Source organism: Homo sapiens, chromosome 7 (assembly GCF_000001405.40).
Source record: "Homo sapiens chromosome 7, GRCh38.p14 Primary Assembly".
NCBI classification, from domain to species: Eukaryota; Metazoa; Chordata; class Mammalia; order Primates; family Hominidae; genus Homo; species Homo sapiens.
In genome coordinates, this window is record NC_000007.14 from 2,639,620 (window position 1) to 2,661,301 (window position 21,682).

Genomic DNA, 21,682 nt, shown 5'->3' on the forward strand with positions numbered 1-21,682 from the left:
CCACAGCCGTCAGTGTGGGGACTCCGTCCCCATCCAGGAAGCCGGGGGTGACTCTGTCCCCACTGCAGTCAGGCTGTGTGGCCGTTACCATATTGTGTGTCTGTCACATGCCGGCACCTCTGGTGGGGTTCTGGCCCCTCAGTGGCCTCTGTGGAGCCTGTCCCTTTCCCTCCTCCAAGCTGTGTCACTTCCACACGGAGCTGGCACGAGGGGCGGGGCAGGGCTGGAACCCACCTTCTGCCCACCCCTTCTCTGGCCACCGGGGGCTGCTTCTCCTGCCACCCCTGCTCACCGTGCCCCGTGGCTGCACCCCTGGGGCTCGCTGGTCTCTCCCAATGCCTCGGGCAGCCATCATCCTCAGCTGTGGTCACGCTGCCTGGCCTGCCAGCTCACCCGCCCCCGCTGTGTGACTGTGGACTCTGGAACTCCCTGTGCCTAGCAGCGTGGCTCCAGGACACGGGCCCTATGTCTTCGCTTCCCTCCCTGCTCAGGGCAGACCCGCAGCAGTGTCCAGCCGAGGAGCGAGCAGCCGTGGCTGGAATGGCAGGGTGGTGGGATCGTGGCCACTGCCTGTGGCTGGGGCTGGAGGCTGCATCGGGCCAAACTTCTCATCAGAGTCCCTGTGAGCACCCCCCAGTGGGCCAGGGCCTCCTCAGCCCAGCCACGCGCCACGGTAGCCCACAGGTTGGTGGCACAGAGCGGCGTGTGGGTCCGTGGCGCAGGGTAGCGGGGTGGGCAGCTGCTCCCAGGCGTGTGCATGTAGAGCAGCCGCCTGTGTGTGTGTGGGGGGGGACGTGTGTTCCATAGGCCGGCCGTGACTTGCTGTGCACCCTCCCGAGTGGCATGCTTCCTCACACGCTGCCAGGCCCAGGTCCTGCCACCAGGTGCTCCGGGAGCCACCAGGATGCCCAGCAGCAGCCACCTGTGCAGGTGGCAGGCAGTGTGCCCTGCCCTGCTGTCATGCATGGCCCTCCCACCTTGGCAGCCTGGTGTGGTGTGGCCTGTGCTGGCGCTGAGCCTGGCATTGCGTTGGGGGGTGCCTGTGTCTGTGTGGCTGATGGGAGTCACGTCCAGACAGGGCCTGGAGGCAGAGTGGGCATGGCCAGGAGGCCGCGGCAGGCGTGGGGCACAGGCCTCACAGCTGCTCGTGCACGTCGTCTGCTCAAGTGCCCCGTGGGCCGTCCTAAGGCCTTGTGGCTCACTGGGCCCTCCCTTCTCCAAGCAGGGCTGGGTTGGGGCCACCCACCTGTGCAGGCAGCCAGGTCAGGTTGGGGGTCTCGCCTTACAAGTGCGGAGCCAGCCGAGGTTCACACAGAGCAAAGGCTGCAGCACCGGGTTTGGGCCTGGGTCTCTAATATCCTGGGGACATCCTGGAGGAGATGGCCTGTGTATGGGGACAATGGGGCTTCCCTGAAGGGGAAGGCTCCAGGCCCAGGGACAGCATATGCCTGGGTGTAGAGGCCACAGAGCCCTGCCCCGAGCCACACCCCAGCCCTGCCCGCTCCTCACCAGCCAGTGCCCCAGGCATCCCTGCCAGGCCAGGGAGGTCTTGCTCTGGCCCAGGGTATACTGGGATCCTATCGGTAGCAACCTGATCTGGGACAGAGTAAGGCTTCAGGCCCCGGCTCTCTGGCTGGCTGGGTGTTTCCAGAGTTGGTGGGGTTTTGGGGGCTGCATTTTGGGGGCTGCGGGGCAGTCGGGGGAGTCTGGGCTCACGGTGGGAGGGGGCATCCCCCATGGATGCCGTCTGTGGCTGTGGGGCTGCAGGGGCTTGGAGAAGGAGGGGGTGGCCCAGGGCCGAGACCAGGAGCCCTAGGGTGGGGGCAGGGGGACTGAGGCTGCAGGAGGGGGTCGCCCCCAGCCCCCTTGGCACATGTGTGGCAGTTGAGTCCTCTCCGTGTGCTCCGCGGAACCCAGCGTGCAGTTTTCGCCTCGCCTGACCGAGCCCTTACATCACTTCCACCACAGACGGAAAATTCCATTTGGTCAGAGCCCAGCTGCTGATCAGACAGTTCCCATTCTTTCTCTGAATGGGCCAGGGAGGGGCGGAGGGGCCGCCAGCCCGGTGGAGAGAGGTGGCTGGGCCACCGTAGGAATGCCGCTGGCCCGGTGCCCCGCAGGAGACCGTCTGCTGGGAATCTGGCTTCGGGAAGTGGGTGCAGAGGCCAGGCTGGCCACGGCACGCTCCCCGCAGACAGCTGGGCTCAGGCCTGGCGCGTTGGGTGCCGGGGCTCTGACGTGGGATGAAGCAGCTGCCCGGTTTGCTGAGCACCCTGACACCCAGGCTCTGCATGCTCGCAGTGGTGGGCTGGGACCCGGGCAGCCCAAGTGGGCTCCCTTTGAGGGAGGCGCCATCTCCTTCCTCAGTTGGGGGAAGCCAAGTGAGGCTGTCCTGGCAGGGGCCCCGAAGCCTGGCCTCTGGCCCCCAGGGGCTGAGGAGCGAGGCTCCGTTTGCAGCTGGCCCCATCCAGGCAAGAACAAGAGAAAGCTGCCTCAGCCAATCGCGGTGCTCACACCTGTAATCCAGCACTTTGGGAGGCCGAGGCAGGTGGATTGCTTGAGCCCAGAAGTTCAAGACCAGCCTGGGCAACATAGCCAGACCCTGTCTTTACAAAAAATTTTTTTAAAAATTAGGGCAGAGGCCAAGCACAGTGACTCATGCCTGTAATCCCAGCACTTTGGGGGACCGAGATGGCAGATCACCTAAGGTCAGGAGTTCAAGACCAGGCTGGCCAACGTGGTGAACTCCCCGTCTCTACTAAAAATACAAAAATTAGCCAAGTGTGTTGGTGCATGCCTCTAGTCCCAGCTACTCAGGAGGCTAAGGTAGGAGAATCACTTGAACCTGAGAGGTGGAGGTTGCAGTGAGCCGAGATCATGCCACTGCACTCCAGCCTCAGTGACAGAGACTCTGTCTCAAAAAAAAAAAAAAAAAAAAAAGAAAGAAAGAAAAAGAAAATTAGCCAGGCGTGGTGATATGTGCCTGTGGTCCAAGCTACTTGAGAGGCTGAGGCAGGAGGATCACTTAAGCCCAGGAGGTTGAGGCTTCAGTGAGTGGTGATCGTGCCACTGCACTCCAGCCTGGGCCACAGAGCAAGACCCTGTCTCTAAAATAATTTTTTTCTTTTCTTTTTTTTTTTTTTTTTTAAATCGTAGACTTGGGCTGGGTGTGGTGGCTCACGTCTGTAATCCCAGCACTTTGGGAAGCTAAGGCGGGCAGATCACCTGAGGTCAGGAGTTTGAGACCAGCCTGGCCAACATGGTGAAAACCCATCTCTACTGAAAATACAAAATTAGCCAGGCATTGGTGGCGGGTACCTGTAATCCCAGCTACTTGGGAGGCTGAGGCAGGAGAATGGCTTGAACCTGGGAGGCGGAGGTTTCAGTGAGTCGAGATCACACCACTGCACTCCAGCTTGGGCATCACCAGTGAAATTACATCTCAAAAAGAAAAGGCTGGGCACGGTGGTTCACGCCTGTAATCCCAGCACTTTGGGAGGCCGAGGCGGGCAGATCATGAGGTCAGGAAATCGAGAGCATCCTGGCTAACACAGTGAAACCCTGTCTCTATTAAAAATACAAAAAATTAGCCAGGCTTGGTGGCGGGTGCCTGTAGTCCCAGCTACTTGGGAGGCTGAGGCAGGAGAATGGCGTGAACCCGGGAGGCGGAGCTTGCAGTGAGCTGAGATGGCGCCACTGCACTCCAGCCTGGGCGACAGAGCGAGACTCTGTCTCAAAAAAAAAAAAAAAAAAATCGTAGAGTCCCCGGTACTCCAGCTCCTGTGCTGCCTTTTCTGTTTTTCTCAGCGTCTCTCACCATCCAGCAGGCTTCACAGTTCACTTACGATGATGCTGAGTGCCTGTGTTCCCTCACCACCCTGCAGGCGGCGCCAAGGGCAAGGGTGCCTGGTGCTTAGCAGCCTCTCCCCACCGGGCATGGGCGTCCCCTGCCCACTGCCCCTGGGCATCAGCCCTCTGCACCAGGGCAGTGCCATCTGAGGGACGGGCTTGCCTCGCCCAGATCCTGTTTGGCCAGGGCTTATCTCGCTCTGCCTCCGTTTTCTCATCTGGCAAGTGGGAGTGGGTGGCTCTGGCGCCGCTGAGGAAGTGATCTGGACCTGGAAGCCCTTTGATGTACGCTGATGCCCCGAGCTCTGGGTGGACATGCCAGGCCGGTGGCTGCGGAGGTCACACCTGTTTAGGCTCTGCGTAATGCGTGTCTGGGATTGACCTGCTCTTCCAGTCCCCAGCTCCTCACCCCAGGAGGAGTTTCCCTGCGAGGCTGTGAGTCCCAGATGTGGGGTGCAGTACAGACAGGCCCTCCTAGAGTCATGTCCCACCGGAGCACAGGGTCGGGGGAGCGAGGGTGACTCCAGCCAGGGACTGGGGAGGCCTCTGCAAGTGGAGAGCAGAGGGAGGGCTCGCTGGAGGAGTCTGACCAGCCCGGGGCCAAGATGCGGCTGGTTGACATGGCCCCCAGGCCATGGGAGCCCAGGGGAGGCCCTGTGGATGGAAGTGCAGACGTGGGCATGGGTCCTGTGGAGCTCTGGTCCCGGGGGGCATGGTCAGCTGCCCCTACAGGTCTGTTCTGCCGTTGGCCTCTGAGCTATAAGGAGGGTACTGGCAGGGCCTGCAGTCACAGCCGGTGGGGTCAGCACCTCCACTCCATTCCCAGCCCCACACAGGCAAGGGCAGACCCAGGGAGCCCCAGAGCGTGGCTTTTCCAAGCTCCCTAACGTTTATAGACAACCCACTGAGCACAGAGCATGGGTACCGTGCTGGGACTGTTAATATGAGGCCCTGCCAAGTGACTGGACTGTCTCCGCCTCCCTGTGTGATCTTGGGTAAGCCCTACTGGGCCCTGAGGACCCCTCTGTGACATGAGCTCCCTGGGACCATGAGACCGCCCTGAGCTGATTCAGTTTCAGTGGCTCTGGTGCCAGCCCTGGGTCCTGCCCCTGGAGGGTGGGGGTGCAGGGCCCAGCAGTCCTCCTGCCATTGCAGGGGCGGTAGGCACTTGTGCATGGCTGAAGGAGTGGGAGGGTGCCCGCCCCTGATGCTCTGCAGTGCCCAGATTGCTGGCTGCTGGGCAGCCGTGGACACACCGGTGTGGCTTTGGACCATGGCGGCTCATTTCTGGGTGTGCCGGGCTGGTCAGCACCTCCCTGGCTGGGTGGAGGTGGAAAGGCCGCCTTCGGGTGTGGACGTCGGCCGGCTTCCTGGAGGGCAGGACACGGCATCCTCCCACTGCCTGGCAACCGTCTCCTGGGAGATCCAGCAGCAATCCCATTGCCCACTGTGGCTGAGCCTCTCATCCCAAGGGGGGGCCAGGCAGGGGACCATCTGCCCCAGCAGCTCCCAAGGCTGGGGTCCCAAGAGGGCCACACTGCTGAAGCATTGAGATGTGGGGAGAGAGGCGTTTCTCTGCAGTAGTGCCAATGAGGGCAGCGCAGGTGTGCCTGGTGGCCACCCCACAACACTGAGGGCCCCAGCTGCTGACACCCCCCAGGGCACCCCCAAGTTAGCCTCTAGGTGGTCCCTGGCCCCATGATGAGGCGCAGCCCTGTATCAGCTCCCCATCCCTCCCCCGGCACAGGAAGTGTGTGGAGGTTCTGGAGGGCTGAGCCGGGGGCAGGGCTATGCTGAATCCAGGGACCTGGGGTTGCAGGGCCTGTGTGCTTTCTCTGTAGCTTCTATGAAGCCCAGTTTCCCTGTGGATGAAATGGGGTGAGAGCACTCGGCCAGGCAGATCGAATGCAGTGCCAGGAGAAGGGACAGCTCTGGGGCCACGTTACCCTCCCTCCCCGCAGCGGGTGCTGAGGAAATGTCACTGTTGCATCAAATTAGCCACTTCCTGTGGGGGTCGCCTGGCCTCGGGACAGGGGAGCTCTGGTGTCTGTTCTGTGGTCTGTCTTTTGTGTTCAGAGACCTGGGGAGAGCCACACTGGAAGGCCGTGCTTGGAGCCAGACAGGGCTGTGTGTCCGATGGGGCGCCTGTATGCAGCCTGTAGCAGTGTGGGGCCAGCCCCACCATCTCATCCAGCGTGGGGGCACGCCATGGACGGTGCCCACCCCTGAGTGCAGCTTCTCGGTGCACAGACCCCAGACAGGATCAGACTCCTGATGGGGCCTCTTCCATGTTCACCCCTCAGAAACACTTTCATGGTCAGCAAGAGGGGGTTCAGTCCCCCACAGGCTCCCAATTTCCCTACCAGACCTGAAAACCTCAGGACTACAGCTGGGGTGGGGGATCCTGCCAGGACTCAGGTAGGAGAGTTCTGGGCCTGAGACGGGGACGGGCTCTGGGGTCCTGGGGCTGTCTCGGGCTGGGGGTGAGGACAGTAGCTGATGCCGGCAGCCCCCTCCCCAGGGCTTCGCTTCTTCGGGGGAGCAGCAGCACTTTTTTTTTTTTTAGACAGTGTCTCGCTCTTGTCGCCCAGGCTGGAGTGCAGTGGTGCAATCTCGGCTCACTGCAACCTCCGCCACCCGGGTTCAAGTGATCCTCCTGCCTCAGCCTCCTGAGTAGCTGGGATTACAGGCACCCGCCACCAGGCCTGGCTAATTTTTGTACTTTTAGTAGAGATGGGGTTTCGCCACGTTGGCCAGGCTGGTCTCAAACTCCTGACCTCAGGTGATCCGCCCGCCTCGGCCTCCCAAAGTGCTGGGATTACAGGCGTGAGCCACCCTGCCCTGCTCAGCAGCACTTCTTTCTACAGAAGATAAACCAGGCTCGGAGAGGTGGAGGGACCTCCCTAGTGGGGCTGTGGCTGCAAAGATGGTGGCTCACCAGCAGCGTCCTCGTTTGTCACCCACATTCTCTGGCTACCTCCATCCAGCGCCTCTCCTTGGGGCCTGGTGGGGCAGACGTCCTGAGCACCTGCCCTGGACTCTGGGGACCCGGTGGGGAGGGGACATGTGCCCTTGCTGGAGCCACAGAAGCCTGGAGTCGGTTCACCCGGCCCCTCCTAGTGGCTATGGAGTCTTCATGCTGTGCAGCCTTGAGGATGGCGAGACCGGGGTCCCAGGTGTGGGGTCCAGGCCTGGGTGACCCCAGGTGCATCACTGAGGTGGTGGGAGACTCCATGCCTCACCTACAAGTCGGGGATGGGGCCCACCTCCCAGGGCTGGGGGCAGGATTAAATGGGAGTCTGCGCCAGGTCCCCTGCTGGGGCGGGGCGTGGGACTCTGAGCTGGGGGTCCACCCCTCCAGCGCCGCTTCCTGCCTGCCCTCAGGCCCTGCTGCTCCTGGGGGCCGCCGCCCTGGCCTGCCTCGCCCTGGACCTCCTCTTCCTGCTCTTCTACTCCTTCTGGCTGTGCTGCCGGCGGCGCAAGAGCGAGGAGCACCTGGACGCCGACTGCTGCTGCACGGCCTGGTGTGTCATCATCGCCACGCTGGTGTGCAGGTGAGCGCGGTGGGGCGGGGACGGAGGGCGGGGCCAGAGGGGGCGGCCCGAGGGGGCGGGGCTGGAGTGGGGTGTGTGTGGGTGGGCGGGGCTACATCTCACGGGCCCGCCCTCTCCAGCGCCGGCATCGCAGTGGGATTCTACGGCAACGGGGAGACCAGTGATGGCATCCATAGGGCCACCTACTCGCTCCGCCACGCCAACCGCACGGTGGCCGGGGTCCAGGACCGCGTGAGTGGCCGCGGAGTTGGGGCCAGGAGCACTCTTGCTGCTCCGGAGCCCCACGTCTGCGCGAGGACGGGCGGGGCAGCCGGGACTGGGGCTGTGCAGGAGGGGCCCAGACTCTGGGGCGAGGCGGGCGCGCTCCCAGCCTCACGCCCGCGGGTCCGGCGCAGGTGTGGGACACGGCGGTGGGGCTGAACCACACGGCGGAGCCCAGCCTGCAGACCCTGGAGCGGCAGCTGGCCGGGCGGCCCGAGCCCCTGCGAGCCGTACAGAGGCTGCAGGGCCTGCTGGAGACGCTGCTGGGCTACACGGCCGCCATCCCCTTTTGGAGGAACACGGCGGTGTCGCTGGAGGTGCTGGCGGAGCAGGTGGATCTCTACGACTGGTACAGGTGCGGCCAGGCCCTCTTCCCTGCCCGCCCCACGTGGGAAAGCATCACCCTCCTTGGGCCAATTTTTGCTCTCAGCACCTAGTACATGAGGCCTGATGGGCAGGGTGTGGCCCAGGGCCACTGGAGGTCACAGGCAGTGGCTGGAGTTCCCCTAATGGGAGCCTTTCTCAAGAACTGACACCAGTCCCCATGACCCAGACGCTCTGAATGCCCTCTGGGGTGCCAGGCTGCTGGCCTCAGCTCCCCCTCAAGGGCCCCTGGCGCCCCACTCCCAGGCCCCGGGTCCCTGTGCCCTGGCGCACTCCCAGGTTTGCCTGCAGGTGGCTGGGCTACCTGGGCCTGCTGCTGCTGGACGTCATCATCTGCCTCCTGGTGCTGGTTGGCCTCATCCGCAGCTCCAAGGGCATCCTGGTGGGGTGAGTCTGGGGGTGTCGGCCCCCCGTGGGCCCAAAGCGGAGGGGCAGGGCAAGGCACCATGTTACCCCTTCCCCCACCTCATCTGCAGATCCTAGCCACAAGCTCTGCGGTGGGGGCTGAGCGGGACCCCCCTGCACTGGGCCTGCTCTGAGATGCCCCTTCTGTGCCTGTGGCCTGTGCCCCTGTGGCCAGCATCCCAGCACACTTGCCCCCAGCCCTTGATTTCCTGCAAGAGTCTGCACGTGGGGCACTTGTAGCCCAGGACCTGAAGCAACCTGCCCAGGTCTCCGAGTGCCTGGGGCCACCCAGAGACCAGGCTGGGGCTCCTTCCTCCACCCCTTCCATCCTTGGCCCTGGGGCAGCCTGGGTTCCAGCCCCAGCTCCGGCTCACTAGGAGGGTGACCTTGGGCAGGTGGCTTATTGTTGCTGGGCCTTGGTCTCCTCGTTTGGAAGGCAGAGAGAGCGGCAGCTCCTCTGTGGGAGGTAAGGTGTTGTCACTGCCCTTCACCACGCAGCTGCACAGCCATGGCTGGTGCCTCCCTGGGCCAGGCCTGGGAGAGATGGGAGAACACACAGCCTCCCCCCACGTGGCACTCACAGGCCACAGAGGAGCAGAATGAGGGAAACGTGGCATGGGCCAGAGGTGATAGCACCCTGGAGAGGAAAAGCCGGGGTGGTGTGAAGGCCTGCAGTAGGGTGGTGGGGGGGGGTGCAGCTTCACGCTGTGCCCAAGGAGACCTGAGCGAGGAGGGATTGAGCAGGGGCCCAAGGGAGTAAGGGACGCCTGGACAGACAGGAAGGATGACAGTGTGCAGTGGGTTGTGGGGTCCTCAGTGGGGTGTGCAGGCCTGCAGTGGGGTGTGGGGCCCGCAGTGGGGTGTGGGGCCCGCAGTGGGGTGTGGGGCCCGCAGTGGGGTGTGGGGCCTGCACTGGGGTGTGTTTTGGGGATCTGAACTGGGATATGGGGGACTCGTGGTGGGGGCACCTGCAGTGGGGTATGCACAGGAGGCCTGTGTATCTGGATCAAAGGGAGCCAGATGTGGGTGAGGTGAGGCCTCAGATGAGGGAGAGGCCAGTGCCGTAGCAAGAGCTCTGAGTCCCCAGTTGCTGAGCGAGGGTTCAGCACAGGAGGGCTTGATCTAGCTGACGTTATCAGGCCCCTTGGGCTGCTACGTGGGCGGCGGGATGCGGGGACCCACGTGAAAGTGGACACTGTTGCCTGTTCAGGAGAGGGACCTGGGGGACAGGAGGGGCGGGGCCCCAAGAGCCACGTGGCCCTCCAGTCCTGCTTCCAGCTCAGATCTCTGAGCCCCACCCCACCTAGGAGAGGGATCCATCTGGGCCCTGGGCTGTGGGCAGCTCTGGCTGAGGCCAGGCCACAGGAAGAGCCCCAGCCCATGTGTGGGCTGACCCCTGATGTGCACTGGGACCTGCCTTCTGGCCTGCAGCCCAGCAGGTGGCACGGCCCCCACCCTGGCCTGGGGGCTGCTGACTGGCTGTCTCTGCCCCAGGGTCTGCCTGCTGGGAGTCCTGGCCCTGGTCATCAGCTGGGGCGCGCTGGGCTTGGAGCTGGCTGTGTCCGTGGTGAGTGGCAGAGGGGGTGAGGTCCCCGGCTGCTGGACCTGGGCACTGGGGGAGGGACGAGGGGAAGCCACACTCCTCTCCCCTCCCATCTTCCCGGGCACTGGGTCCCGAGAGCGGTGGGGACCCACCATGGGCACAGTCCACCTGTAACCCCAGATTCACAGTCCACCCTCCTGAGTTGAAAGCAGACTCCAGGGGACGGGTTCTACCCCCGAGAGCTTCCCTTTAGGCCCAGCTTGGTCAACCCCTCTTGCTTGCCCACGCCCACCTCAGGGCTCCAGCGACTTCTGTGTGGACCCTGACGCCTACGTGACCAAAATGGTGGAGGAGTACTCGGTGCTGAGTGGGGGTGAGTCTGTGTCCACGGCCGTGTCCCAGCGGGTTCCCCAGGGTTGGGCTGAGCCAAAAGAGTGGGGTAGCTGAGGCCGAGACACCCCTGCCCTGTGGGTCCATGGTCTCAGGGAGACAGGTCCCAGGCCAAGATGCTAGTGAGCAAACAGGACCACCTTTCCCAAGTGGGAGGCTCTGCAAAGAATGACAGGAACTATGTGGGGTGGCGGGTGCCCGCGTGGCAGGGGGAGCGGCAGGTGACCCAGGGCTGCTTCGAGTAGATGCCCAGGGGAGGCCAAATGGGTGGCATTAAAGTACAGCCAGAGGTCTGGGTGCAGTGGCTCACACCTGTAATCCTAGCACTTTGGGAGGCCGAGGCGGGTGGATCACCTGAGGTCAGGAGTTCAAGAGCAGTCTGGCCAACATAGCAAAACCCTGTCTCTACTAAAAATACACAAATGAGCTGGGTGTGGTCGTGGGTGCCTGTAATCCCAGCTACTCCGGAGACTGAGGCACGAGAATTGCCTGAACCCAGGAGGTGGAGGTTGCAATGAGCCGAGATCGCACCACTGCATTCCAGCCTGGGCAACAAGAGTGAAACTCCATCTCAAAAAAAAAAAGTAGAGCCAGAAGGACGCTGCATCTCTTCTAAGAGCCCCGAGGCAGGAGGCAGACCCGAGGGGAGAATGGAGGGTGGGAGGCCAGTGGGGCTGAGTCTCTGTGGCAAGCTTCGCTTTATTCCAGGGGGAGGCCATTGGAGGGAGGGAGGCAGGGGAGAGATTTGACCCATGATTGAAGGTCCCTTTCAAAGCTTCCTCAGGCCTCAAGGGTTACAAGAGTGGGTGAGGAGGATACCTCAAGCAGGAGACAGCAGGGGCTTGAATAAATGGAGCAAAAGGTGGACAGGGATGGGCTTTGAGGGCGGAGCTGGCAGGACTTCCCGGTCAGTTGGATGTAGGGAGCGAGAGGGACGGAGCAGGAGTTGGCGTCCCTGGTTTCAGCAGCTCTGTGCTGCGGGACCATAAGCTGTACTGTGGGTGGGGGAGCAGGTCTGGAGGTGGGGGGCAGGGAGCTGGGGCATCGGGAGTTTCGGCCCCCTCGGGAGGTTTGCGATGTGTGTCGGACGGCACAGAGGCAGGTGGACGTGGGAATCTGGAGATCGGGGTGCCGTCAGTGTGTTAAGCTTCTCAGGCCCCCCTTGTGGAATTATTGTGTGTTCCCCAATAGGAAATAGAAGGCCTGTCCCTGTGGGGGTGAGGGTTACTGAATGACCTTGAAGGTGACCATCCTGCCACCCTTTGTCCCTGGAGGCCACAGGATTGGCTTGTGGGCTGGTTTTTTACCTGCCTTTGTTGAAGGAACCACTTCCACCAAAGCCTGAAGAGCCTCCTGGAGGAAAAGTCATCTGCCGCCCACTGACCTTGTCCTCGGGGGCGAGGGTGGAGGGGTGGGCCCGCTCTGCTAGGGGCGGGGAGGGCTGGTGACCGCTCAGTGCTACCCACCACTGTCCTTGGCCCCGGTGCTATCATCCTGGTCCCTCCAGGTCCCTACTGTAGCCGGCGGCCTTTGGGGGGATCTCATCAAGTATGAGCAGCGCCCCCTACACGTGTACATGTACACACGTAAGTGTGAGCTCCAGCCTGCGGGCCAGACAGCCCCTCCCAGAAGGCAGCAAGGCCAGCCACGCTGGCTTCACTGCACAGGCGGCCACAGTGATGCCTGGTGCTCTCCTATGTTGTTAAATACTTTCATCATTTTTTGAACTTTTAAAATGTTTTTTTTTAATGTTCTTTTATAATTGGAAGAACTGAACTTGTAAAGAGTTCGGAAGGTGGAACCCAGGCAAGGGGCAGTGTGTGGGGACTCTGGCTTGATGGGAGCCCAGACCCCACTGCCACACACACAGACATAGGCATGTGTGTAAATGCATGCAGACACACATGCGAAGACATGTACACACAGACATGCACACATATAAACACACAGACACATGCACACCGGCACACGTGCACACGAAACGTGCACAGAGACACATGCACGTGTAAGTAAACATGCAGACACATGCACATGTGTAAACAGGTGCACACAGACACACATGCACACATGTAAACATGCACGCAGATGCCCTGAAGATATGCGTGCAGACACAGGCAGACGTGCACGCAGTCTCACAGGGACAGCTGTTGCAGCTCAGCCTTCCCTGATGTCTCTCCGCAGACATCCTGCAGTACTACCTGGCCTGCTCGCCCCGCGCCGCCAACCCCTTCCAGCAGGTGAGAGCCTGGGAGGCCGGGACTGGGCTTCAGGAGAGTCTGAAGCACATTGCTGTGTGTGGAGGGGCCCAGCAGGCCTGGCGCCTGGCTCCTCAGCCTGCAGGACTGGGGAACTGGGGGAGGGAGCTGGACAAAGGCTGTGTGGATGTCACCAACAGCCCCTGGGGTTACCATGCCGGTGACCTGGTGACCTGGCTGAGAGCCTTTCGGGGGGACCTGCTCAATGCACCCGCATCGCTGGGACTGCTTTTGCTCCTTGGATTGGCCTTGGTGGGGGAAGGAGGAGCCCCAGGGATGCCTCTGTAGGGTAACCGTGTTCAGGCGTCCTGGTGGGGGAGTTTGAAGAGGTCGGCCGCACCAGCTGGTCAAGCCCTGTACACACTGCCTGTCATTGTACCGGTAGCATGTGACCCTTTGAATCCTGAGGGCCGTGTGACTGTGCTTTGCTTGCTGGTGTGGGTGCGTGGTTGGCTGTTACCACCTCAGGGCTCTGTGGTCTCTGGGTGTGTCCCGGGGGAAGCAAGGGCAGGGAGTGCCCTGTTGGCCTGCAGAGCAGAGCCTTGATGGTCTCCCAGGCTGGACGTCTTGCTGGTGTCCCCGCGTTGGAGGGTCCTGGGGAGGGAGAGGCGGGCGGACCCAGCAGCGCCCATGGACTTGGTCTCCTCTCTGGAGCAGAAGCTGTCGGGCAGCCACAAGGCACTGGTGGAGATGCAGGATGTCGTGGCTGAGCTTCTGAGGACCGTCCCCTGGGAGCAGCCGGCCACTAAGGTGAGGGGCTGCGGGGTAGGCACTGGGGCAGGCAGGGCTCCTCTTTTCTCAGCATGAAAGGAATTTGTGGTGCAAACACAGCTCAGGGCAAATTTGGAGAAGGCACCAGGCTGGCCGAGTGGGGACCTGGTGTTGGAGGTGGCATGGGAGGTGTTCCTCTTCCCTCCCCCAGCCCTTTCCGCGTTAGGCCTCATTTTTTCCTCCCCTTCCTCCCTCCTTCATTCCTTTCCCTTGGGAATTTTTGGTAGGTTTTAAAAATCATTTCTTTTGAGATGGGCTCTTGCTATGTTGCCCAGGTGGGTCTCAGGGCTGGGATGACAGACGTGAACCACCACACCCAACGTTTAAAAAATAACTTTATTCTTTGTTTAAAAATAATACAAGCTCTTTATATTTAAAAAAATTGAAGAAAATGGAAAGAGATGAGGGAAGAGAGTAACAGAATCAGATCCATTCTCTGGGTGAGTGCCCTGGGGGCATTGTGGAAATTTGAGAGGATTCTTGTTTTTCCCTGTAGTGTTCTGGGCCCGGGCATTTCTACATTACAATATGTTAAAAAAATAAAATAAAGGCCTGGCGCGGTGGCTCACGCCTGTAATCCCAGCACTTTGGGAGGCCGAGGTGGGTGAATCACTTGAGCCCAGGAATTCAATACCAGCCTGGCCAACATGGTGAAACACCATTTCTACTAAAAATACATAAATTAGCTGGGCGTGGTGGTACACGCCTGTAATCCCAGCTACTTCAGAGGCTGAGGCAGGAGAATCACTTGAACCTGGGAGGCAGAGATTGCGGTGAGCGGAGATCACGCCACTGCACTCCAGCCTGGGCAACAGAGCGAGACTCCATCTCAAAGAATAAAATAAAAATAAAAAATAAATACGTTGCTATACTCTTGATAAAACCCAAATCTCTTTGGAGGTGTTTGGTCCACCCGTGGGGATCCCTGCCCCCACACACACCGCCCCAGGACTGGACATGAAGAGGGAGGAGTGCGTCTGTGGGCACAAGTGTGGGTCTCAGACTCCATTTGGGAGCAGCTGGCCCTTCTCCAAGGAGCTCTTCACAAAGATAAAAGCAAACAAATGTGTATACACACACGGGGCCGGGCACGGCACTCATGCCTGTCATCTCAGCACTCTGGGGGGCTGAGGCAAGGGGATCACTTGAGCCCACGAGTTCAAGACCATCCTGGGCAACATAGCAAGACCCCATTCTACAAAAAAATACAAAAACTAGCTAGGTGTGGCAAAGCATGCCTGCAATCCCAGCTGCACAGGAGGCTGAGGCAGGAGGATTGCTTGAGCCCGGGAGTTCAAAGCTGCAGTGAGCTGTGATGGCACCAGTTCACCCCAGCCTGGGCAACAGAGCAAGACCCTGTCTCTCTCTCTCTTTCTCTCTGTATGTATGTGTATATATATATAACATATATACACACACATAAAAAAAAATTAAAAATAAAAATTATACACACACACACACAATTGCTTTGATTTAAAGTTACTTTTTAGAATTTCTGTTACAGCTAGAGCTCCCTCTTGGCGTTTTTGCACTCGAGTGGGTAGGGAAGTGGATTCGTTTCCTGGGACCCCCATAGCACAGCAGCCCAGATGGGGCAGCCTCCGCAGCAAACGTTTATCATCTCACAGCTCTTGGCAGGGCCGGCTTCTTCCAAGGCCTCCCTTTTGCTTGTAGACGCTGTCTTCTCCCACTGTCTTCACAGGACCATCCCTCTGTGGGTGTCTGTGTCTTGATCTCCTCTTCTTTTTTATTTTTATTTATTTATTTTTTTGAGACAGAGTCTCTCTCTGTTGCCCAGGCTGGAGTGCAGTGGCGCAATCTCGGCTCACCGCAACCTCTGCCTTCTGGGTTCCAGCGATTCTCCTGCTGAGTAGCTGGGATTACAGGCGCCTGCAGCGCACCCAGCTCATTTTCCTCTTCTTATAAGGACACCCGTCCCATGGGGCTAGGACCCACCCATGTGACCTTGGTTTACCTTCAACACCTCTTTAAAGGCTGTGTCTCCAAGTGCAGCCCCTTTCTGAGGTCCTGGGGGTTCAGACCGCAACACAGGAATTCTGGAGGCACCATTGAGCCCGTAACAGTAGGCTCTGTTATCCCGAAATCCATTTCTTTTTTTTTGGTGTTGTTTTTGAGATAGGGTCTTACTCTCTTGCCGAGGCTGGAGTGCAGTGGTGTGATCTCAACTCACGGCAAACTTCGCCTCCCGGCTGAAGCGATTCTTCTGCCTCAGCCTCCTGAGTAGCTGGGACTACAGGCGCGTGCCACCACGCCTGGCTAATTTTTGTATTTTTAGTAGAGACAGGGTTTCACCATGTTGCCCAGGCTGGTCTCCAACTCTTGGCCTCAAGTGATCCACCCACCTTGGCCTCCCAAAGCGCTGGGATTACAGGGGTGAGCCACCGCTCCCGGCCCCAAAATCCATTTCAGGATTGTAGTGGGTCCTTAGAAAACGTGCCGTAAAAGGCAGCAATGGGCCCAGTCACTGCTCCTGTGGAGTCGCTGTCAGCCTGGCAGTGTTTCTGTGCAGCCGTTTCTCCAGGCATGAGACAGAGCTGGTGGTGTCCGTGCACAGGTGCACACGCATGCACACACGTAAGCACCGGTGAGCACACGGACACATTACAGGACTGCGCTCACTCTGCATGGAGAGTTTTGTCAGTCAGTATGAGACTCTTCCCTTGTCTTTAGCTGTTCCTTGAAATAATACTTTCAAAAGCAGAGCAGGTCCGTGTCAGTAGACACGTGGGGGTTCGCTGTTTCTCCCATTACAATAAAGGGAGGTCTGTCTTCACGTAGTGGCGACCACACTGGACAGGCGCTTCTGGGTCCTCATGTCCTTGGTAGACCCCACGGGTCTGAGGAGGGGCCTGGGGTCACCATTTCTCAAGGCCCAGAGTCCTTGTCCTCAGGACCTGCACTGAGACCCCAGGGTGGGGGGTATCTCAGTCGAAGATTATGGGCTGGAGGGAGACCTGGGGGCTTCCCAGATGGGGCGAGGCTGGCTCGAGGTCCCCCGTCCAAATGAAGTGCTGACCATCTGCGGTGCGTGCCCCCCAGGACCCCCTCCTCCGCGTCCAGGAGGTGCTGAATGGCACGGAGGTGAACCTGCAGCACCTCACCGCCCTGGTGGACTGCCGCAGCCTGCATCTGGTGAGAGGCAGGGCCTGGGACAGGGCCATGGCAGCTTGTAGGGTGGGAACAGGGGAGCAGCTGTTCGGGAGGATGGGGACCCTCAGCAGACAGTGGGTCCTCAGCCCTGCCTCTGGGGGGCGGTCCAGGCCGCCGTGGCTGGGCTGAAGGTCTCACGCTGCCCCCTCCACCCTCCCTGTCTCTGGATCCTGCCATCTCATCCCACGGCCTCAGGACTACGTGCAAGCGCTGACCGGCTTCTGCTATGACGGCGTGGAGGGCCTCATCTACCTGGCCCTCTTCTCCTTCGTCACAGCCCTCATGTTCAGCTCCATCGTCTGCAGCGTCCCGCACACCTGGCAGCAAAAGAGGTGAGGGGCCCTGGGGGGTCGCAGGAGCTTGCCCCAGGCCACATGGCATGCGGGACACTTCAGGGGCATGCCTTTATGGACACCCATGTGCCAGTCCCAGAGGTGAGGGACAGACACCTCCTCACCTCGTGACCCTCCCTAGGCCTCTCTAGTGTCTCTGAGGCTGCCGGTTCCCAGGTGAGCATCATCATTTCACAGGAGGAAAACAGCCTGGAGGAGCTCCCGGCCTGGGTTGCAGGAGTCCAGAGCAGACAGTGGGGAGGACTGGGGTCTCTTGCCTCCCCAGACTGGCTCTGTGCCCTATGCCCTGAGAGCTGGCCTCAGACTGTCTACTCTGTACCGCCTCCCAGGCAGGTGTCCCCCACCATGGGGTGCAGGTGCACGACGCTGTGGGGGAAAGGTTGGTGGTCCACTGTGCAGGCTTAGCTCTGCCAGGGGTAGTCCAGGTAGCTGTGGCCTCCAGCTAAGTGACCAGGATAGAAGCCAGCTCCCCTGGAGCCACTATGTCCTTACCTTTGAAGTGGGGGTCCTGGTGGCCCCTGCCTGAGTCTTCCCATTCAGTACTGGTTTGAGTGGTGTATTGGGGTGACAGGCTCCTTCCCTTGCCAGAGCTCCTATGGCTTATCTTTGAGACCTTCACCTCCTCTCCCACTTGGACTGTGGCTGCTGCTTGGTGGCCCAATATGGATGGCAGGTAGCTCAGCTCAGATTTCTTCCTTTTGTCTGGATTTCTATTATTTTCCTTTGTGATGGTGATGGTGATGCTGCCAACGATGATGGTGATGGTGATGGTGGTAATGATGGTGATGGTGATGGTGGTGATGATGGTGATGGTGGTGGTGATGGTGATGATGGTGATGATGGTGGTGGTGGTTGTGGTGGTGGTGATGGTGATGGTGATGGTGATGTCATTGTTGATGTTGGTGATGGTGATGGCATTGGTGATGTCGGTGATGGTGGTGGTGATGGTGTCAGTGGTAACAAAGATGGTAGACATAGGGGAGTAGATAAGAGCATAGCCCTGGACCCACAGGGCTAGATTCAGATTCTGTCTCTATCCTTGCTTATTGTATGATGTGGGCAAGTCACTTAACCACCCTGGGCCTCAATTTCCCTCATTGTAAGAGGACACAGCTGGAGTGTCGAGTGGGCACTTGAGCCACTGCACGTGAGGGGCTTGGCTGGTGGCCCCTGCGCAGCCAAAAGCTACCACTGTCCTGTTTCTGAAGTGCTTGCTGCCAGGCAGCCCACCCTGTGTCCCATGTGGGACCTCCTGGGGCGTGGAGGCTCCAAAGTGCCAGAGGCTCGCGCAGAGTGGAAGACAGAAAGCCAGAGGGCAGCAGGGCTAGGAAAACTGGCTCAGGCCACCCAAGGGTGCAGTTGGATCCTGCAGAGCCAAGAGGCACCCCAGCCTCCTGTGCCTTCAAGAGGCACCCTGGCCTCCTGCACTCTCCCAGGAGGGGCCCTGCACTCTTCTTTCAGTAAGCAGCCAGCCAGCCTTGCCATGCACAGGCCGCAGTACAGGGCCTGGCACTCGGGTGACCACACAGGTCTCATAGCACCCCACCTCGCAAGGGCAGGGCTGGATGCAGAGCCAGGTGACCTGCCCACAGTCCCACATGGAGTGTGCACACGGCCGAGCCAGAACTGGAACCAGGAGTGTCTGTCTGCACCAGAACTGACCCCCATGGGTCTGTGGCCAGCTCCTTCCTGCTGGGGCCTGAGCCCGTGCTGCGTGTCCCTCCTCACAGAGGCCCTGATGAGGACGGGGAGGAGGAGGCCGCTCCAGGGCCGCGGCAGGCGCACGACAGCCTCTACCGCGTCCACATGCCCAGCCTGTACAGCTGTGGCAGCAGCTACGGCAGTGAGACCAGCATCCCGGCCGCGGCCCACACCGTCAGCAACGCCCCGGTCACTGAGTACATGTGAGTTGACGTGGGCCTAGTGGGGCCAGCGGACACGTCAGCTGCGGCTGAGAGCGCGGATCTGGGCTGGGGCTAGCTCGAGGCAAGGGGCTGGAGAAGGGGCGGCCTCCGGGCTGGGCAGCCCTGGCCTTGAGTGCCTCCTGCCCCAGGTGAACACGGTCCAGGGGCCATGGAGAGGCCACATGGTCACATGGAGGTTCCGTGTCCAGGGCACAAGGACTCTGTGGCCAAGGACCTCAGGGCCCAGCTACATGGTGAACAGGTGGCTCGGAGGGAGTGGACTCTGGCTGGGCCAAGGTGGGCAGGGGTCTCTCTGTGGGCCCTCTCTGAGCCCTTTGTTACTGTGCTGGGTTCGTGGGACCCCCAGTGAGAATGGATGTGCCCATCTGGGCACAGCGGGCCTACCCATGGGCCCCCCGACCTGCAGCTGGGACTGCATGGCCAGCAGGCACTCACAGCCTCTCTCCCCTCATGCCTCAGGAGCCAGAACGCTAATTTCCAGAACCCCCGCTGTGAGAACACCCCACTCATTGGGCGCGAGTCCCCGCCGCCCTCAGTAAGTCTTGGGGCAGGAGGGTGGATGGGGGGCTGCTCAGCCTTGGGGGTCCGCTGTTCCACTGCGTCGGTGGGCTGGTGTGGCATGTGCAGCCAGTGTGAGCTCTGGGGGCAGCTGTGAGCTGCCACCACCGGGGTCCCAGGTGACCCTTCCCAGCTGGGACCTCTCTGCAGGACGCCTGACCTGAGTTGACGGGGCTGGGTGGGACTGCCAGCTCCTCCCCGCTGGCCTTGGAGTGTCCTGGGGCCAGAGTGGGCAGCCTCGGGACCAGCCGCCCAGGGGGTCAGCTCTCAGGCCCTTTCCTGGGGAAGGAGAGTGGGTGGGCGGGCAGATGTGGCCCCACTGTGGCCCTCCCAGCTTGTAGGCACGGCCCTGCACCAGGCCCTCCCTGGCCTCTTACCTGCCATTCTCTGTGCCTTCTGGACCTGTGGGGTGCCACCGCTCCAGTTCCCAGGGGCCCCGGCCCTGCCTCCTTTTCTTTTTCTTCCTTGAGTCTTTTCCTGAGTGTCCACACATGGCTGTTTCAGCCCAGGCCTGGTGTCCCCTTTGACTTCCCGCGTAAGACACAGGCAGGAGGGGACAGGGTGCCGAAGAGAAGGAGTTGGTGGCGAAGCTGGGGGACCGGGGAGGGGGCGGCCGGGCTACCAGGACAGGGCTTGGGAGGCCGAAGGCTGCCTTGCTCAGAAATCCCCATCCCGGGGCCACTGTCATGGTCCCCTGTAGCACAGAGCTGGGCCTGGGGGGCCTGGGAGGGGCCGGGCCTGTGAGGTTCAGGCCACACAGGTGCAGGCCCAGTCCCGCTCGGCTGCCCTCGTCCTCGCCATCACACGGCCCACAGCCCACTCCTGGCCCCACACCCTGGCGTTGAGGCCACACTCTCTCTCTCTCTCTCTCTTGCACCCCACCCACCCCGGGCCCTCCTAGCGCTATCTGGCTGCCCTGGACTCTGGCAGCCACGCGGGCTGGCAGTTTAAGCCCATGGACAGTGCCCGAACGCTGTGGTAGCTGTTCCCTCAGAGCGACAGGTACTGACCCACCGGTCCCCCATCCCGCACGGCCACCCGCCTGCGCCTCCCGCCTCCACCCTGCACTCACTGCCGCCCTCCCGTCGGCACTGAGCTGGGGCTCCATCTGTCCGGCTCCTGTTGGCAGGGCCAGCTCTGAGTGCCACGGCTCAGCCAGAGACTTCTAATGCCGGCTCTGGGCCCGCCAGCCTCACAGTGGGGTTGGCAAGTCCCCTTCCAGGCTCCCCCTGCCCAGTTGCTTGGCCTCTGGGGACTCTGCCACAGCTCCAAGTGGCCCCAGCCCCTTCTGTCACCTCCCAGTGAGGAATCCATGCACCCAGACCCCTGTATGTGCCCGGGCCCCTGGGCATGTGGCCAGCAGGCCCTGCCCTGGAGGCACCAACTGCGTGTCAGGGGCGTGCACACGGACAGGCACGTGCCGGCGAGCACGTGAGCTTCTCCCGCTGGCCCCACGGTGGTGCGGGTGCCTGCTTGGGCTCCTTCAGGGGTCTGCGCGTCTGCCCCGTCCCGTCCAGTCCCGCCCCGTCCCGCCCCCATCCCCTCCCCTTGTGCTGCATGTCAGTGGAATGACGAGGCTCCGGGCCGTGGCTCCTCCCCCCACCCCCTCCGTGGCGTCCCCACAGGCTGCTCGAAACCTTCTTGGTGTCCCAGGAGGGCCCTCGGGGACCCGGGGAGCTCTGTGCCTCTGAGTCTGGGGACTATGGGGATGGGCCTGGGGCCCTGGGGTTCTGAAGCCCTCCTGGGATGGGAGCCAGCCTGCCAGGTCTCCTCACTGCCGCCGGCCCCTGACACGTGCCAGGCCTGTGGGTCCTTTGGCCTCAGCACATGCCTCGCACATGTGGGTTTCTCTGTGAGCACACACATGCATTCTCTTGCACACACACGTGCACTCAAGACCTTCACACTCCTGCCTGGACGAGGGCACCCACGAGGTGCAGGCCAGCTGCAGAGCCAGGCACAGGACAGCGCCCCCTGCAGCCGCCTCTGTTCCTAAGTCCAAGACCCCCAGGAGCCCACAGTTGGGTCCCCCACGGGAGGGGGGGCTGCATTGCTCCAGCCTCCTGTGTGGCTTAAGGGGCCCTCCTTCCATGGCGTGAAGGGGCAGAGTAGCCCGGGGGATGTCCTCAGGCTGGGGCCTCCGTACTCCTGCATGCTGTGGCCTGGCTGTAGGTGGACCCGGCCCTGAGCCCGGAGGAGGCCTTGGCCCGGCCCTGGAGGGTGGCTGGTTTGTGTCCTTCAGGTCCTGGGTGCGTAAGGTGCA

The 21,682-nt window shown here is 61.3% G+C and overlaps 1 protein-coding gene across 1 annotated transcript in view, besides 13 other annotated features; it reads left to right on the forward strand.

The window, feature by feature from the left end:
• Positions 1–21,682, forward strand: part of TTYH3 (tweety family member 3) — a 32,817-nt gene that overhangs the window by 7,634 nt on the left and 3,501 nt on the right. Inside the window, exons 2-13 of the mRNA NM_025250.3 lie at positions 7,234–7,403; positions 7,523–7,634; positions 7,799–8,019; positions 8,340–8,435; positions 9,948–10,020; positions 10,294–10,369; positions 12,568–12,623; positions 13,299–13,391; positions 16,473–16,565; positions 16,779–16,915; positions 18,667–18,840; positions 19,321–19,396. Coding sequence (NP_079526.1) covers positions 7,234–7,403; positions 7,523–7,634; positions 7,799–8,019; positions 8,340–8,435; positions 9,948–10,020; positions 10,294–10,369; positions 12,568–12,623; positions 13,299–13,391; positions 16,473–16,565; positions 16,779–16,915; positions 18,667–18,840; positions 19,321–19,396 — 1,377 coding nt within the window. The remainder of the gene's footprint in view (positions 1–7,233; positions 7,404–7,522; positions 7,635–7,798; positions 8,020–8,339; positions 8,436–9,947; positions 10,021–10,293; positions 10,370–12,567; positions 12,624–13,298; positions 13,392–16,472; positions 16,566–16,778; positions 16,916–18,666; positions 18,841–19,320; positions 19,397–21,682) is intronic.
• Positions 1,428–1,567: an enhancer, noted in NCBI's record as "active region_25540". NCBI's record gives its function as "activates an Ori minimal core promoter by ATAC-STARR-seq in GM12878 lymphoblastoid cells {active_cell/tissue: GM12878}" and the evidence as "EXISTENCE:reporter gene assay evidence [ECO:0000049][PMID:35858748]".
• Positions 1,428–2,247: a biological region, named in NCBI's record as "H3K27ac-H3K4me1 hESC enhancer GRCh37_chr7:2680771-2681442".
• Positions 1,518–2,189: an enhancer, noted in NCBI's record as "H3K27ac-H3K4me1 hESC enhancer chr7:2680771-2681442 (GRCh37/hg19 assembly coordinates)". NCBI's record gives its function as "activates a minimal SCP1, AML or CMV promoter by ChIP-STARR-seq in naive H9 embryonic stem cells {active_cell/tissue: H9 hESC(naive)}" and the evidence as "EXISTENCE:reporter gene assay evidence [ECO:0000049][PMID:30033119]".
• Positions 2,008–2,247: a silencer, noted in NCBI's record as "silent region_17883". NCBI's record gives its function as "represses an Ori minimal core promoter by ATAC-STARR-seq in GM12878 lymphoblastoid cells {active_cell/tissue: GM12878}" and the evidence as "EXISTENCE:reporter gene assay evidence [ECO:0000049][PMID:35858748]".
• Positions 2,190–2,861: an enhancer, noted in NCBI's record as "H3K27ac-H3K4me1 hESC enhancer chr7:2681443-2682114 (GRCh37/hg19 assembly coordinates)". NCBI's record gives its function as "activates a minimal SCP1, AML or CMV promoter by ChIP-STARR-seq in naive H9 embryonic stem cells {active_cell/tissue: H9 hESC(naive)}" and the evidence as "EXISTENCE:reporter gene assay evidence [ECO:0000049][PMID:30033119]".
• Positions 5,266–5,385: an enhancer, noted in NCBI's record as "active region_25541". NCBI's record gives its function as "activates an Ori minimal core promoter by ATAC-STARR-seq in GM12878 lymphoblastoid cells {active_cell/tissue: GM12878}" and the evidence as "EXISTENCE:reporter gene assay evidence [ECO:0000049][PMID:35858748]".
• Positions 5,616–5,910: a silencer, noted in NCBI's record as "tiled region #8408; K562 Repressive non-DNase unmatched - State 7:EnhWF". NCBI's record gives its function as "represses a minimal TATA promoter and a strong SV40 promoter by Sharpr-MPRA in K562 cells {active_cell/tissue: K562}" and the evidence as "EXISTENCE:reporter gene assay evidence [ECO:0000049][PMID:27701403]".
• Positions 5,616–6,185: a biological region, named in NCBI's record as "Sharpr-MPRA regulatory region 8408".
• Positions 5,622–6,185: an enhancer, noted in NCBI's record as "NANOG-H3K27ac-H3K4me1 hESC enhancer chr7:2684875-2685438 (GRCh37/hg19 assembly coordinates)". NCBI's record gives its function as "activates a minimal SCP1, AML or CMV promoter by ChIP-STARR-seq in naive H9 embryonic stem cells {active_cell/tissue: H9 hESC(naive)}" and the evidence as "EXISTENCE:reporter gene assay evidence [ECO:0000049][PMID:30033119]".
• Positions 12,892–13,659: an enhancer, noted in NCBI's record as "H3K4me1 hESC enhancer chr7:2692145-2692912 (GRCh37/hg19 assembly coordinates)". NCBI's record gives its function as "activates a minimal SCP1, AML or CMV promoter by ChIP-STARR-seq in primed H9 embryonic stem cells {active_cell/tissue: H9 hESC(primed)}" and the evidence as "EXISTENCE:reporter gene assay evidence [ECO:0000049][PMID:30033119]".
• Positions 20,534–21,034: an enhancer, noted in NCBI's record as "H3K4me1 hESC enhancer chr7:2699787-2700287 (GRCh37/hg19 assembly coordinates)". NCBI's record gives its function as "activates a minimal SCP1, AML or CMV promoter by ChIP-STARR-seq in primed H9 embryonic stem cells {active_cell/tissue: H9 hESC(primed)}" and the evidence as "EXISTENCE:reporter gene assay evidence [ECO:0000049][PMID:30033119]".
• Positions 21,343–21,412: an enhancer, noted in NCBI's record as "active region_25542". NCBI's record gives its function as "activates an Ori minimal core promoter by ATAC-STARR-seq in GM12878 lymphoblastoid cells {active_cell/tissue: GM12878}" and the evidence as "EXISTENCE:reporter gene assay evidence [ECO:0000049][PMID:35858748]".
• Positions 21,493–21,592: an enhancer, noted in NCBI's record as "active region_25543". NCBI's record gives its function as "activates an Ori minimal core promoter by ATAC-STARR-seq in GM12878 lymphoblastoid cells {active_cell/tissue: GM12878}" and the evidence as "EXISTENCE:reporter gene assay evidence [ECO:0000049][PMID:35858748]".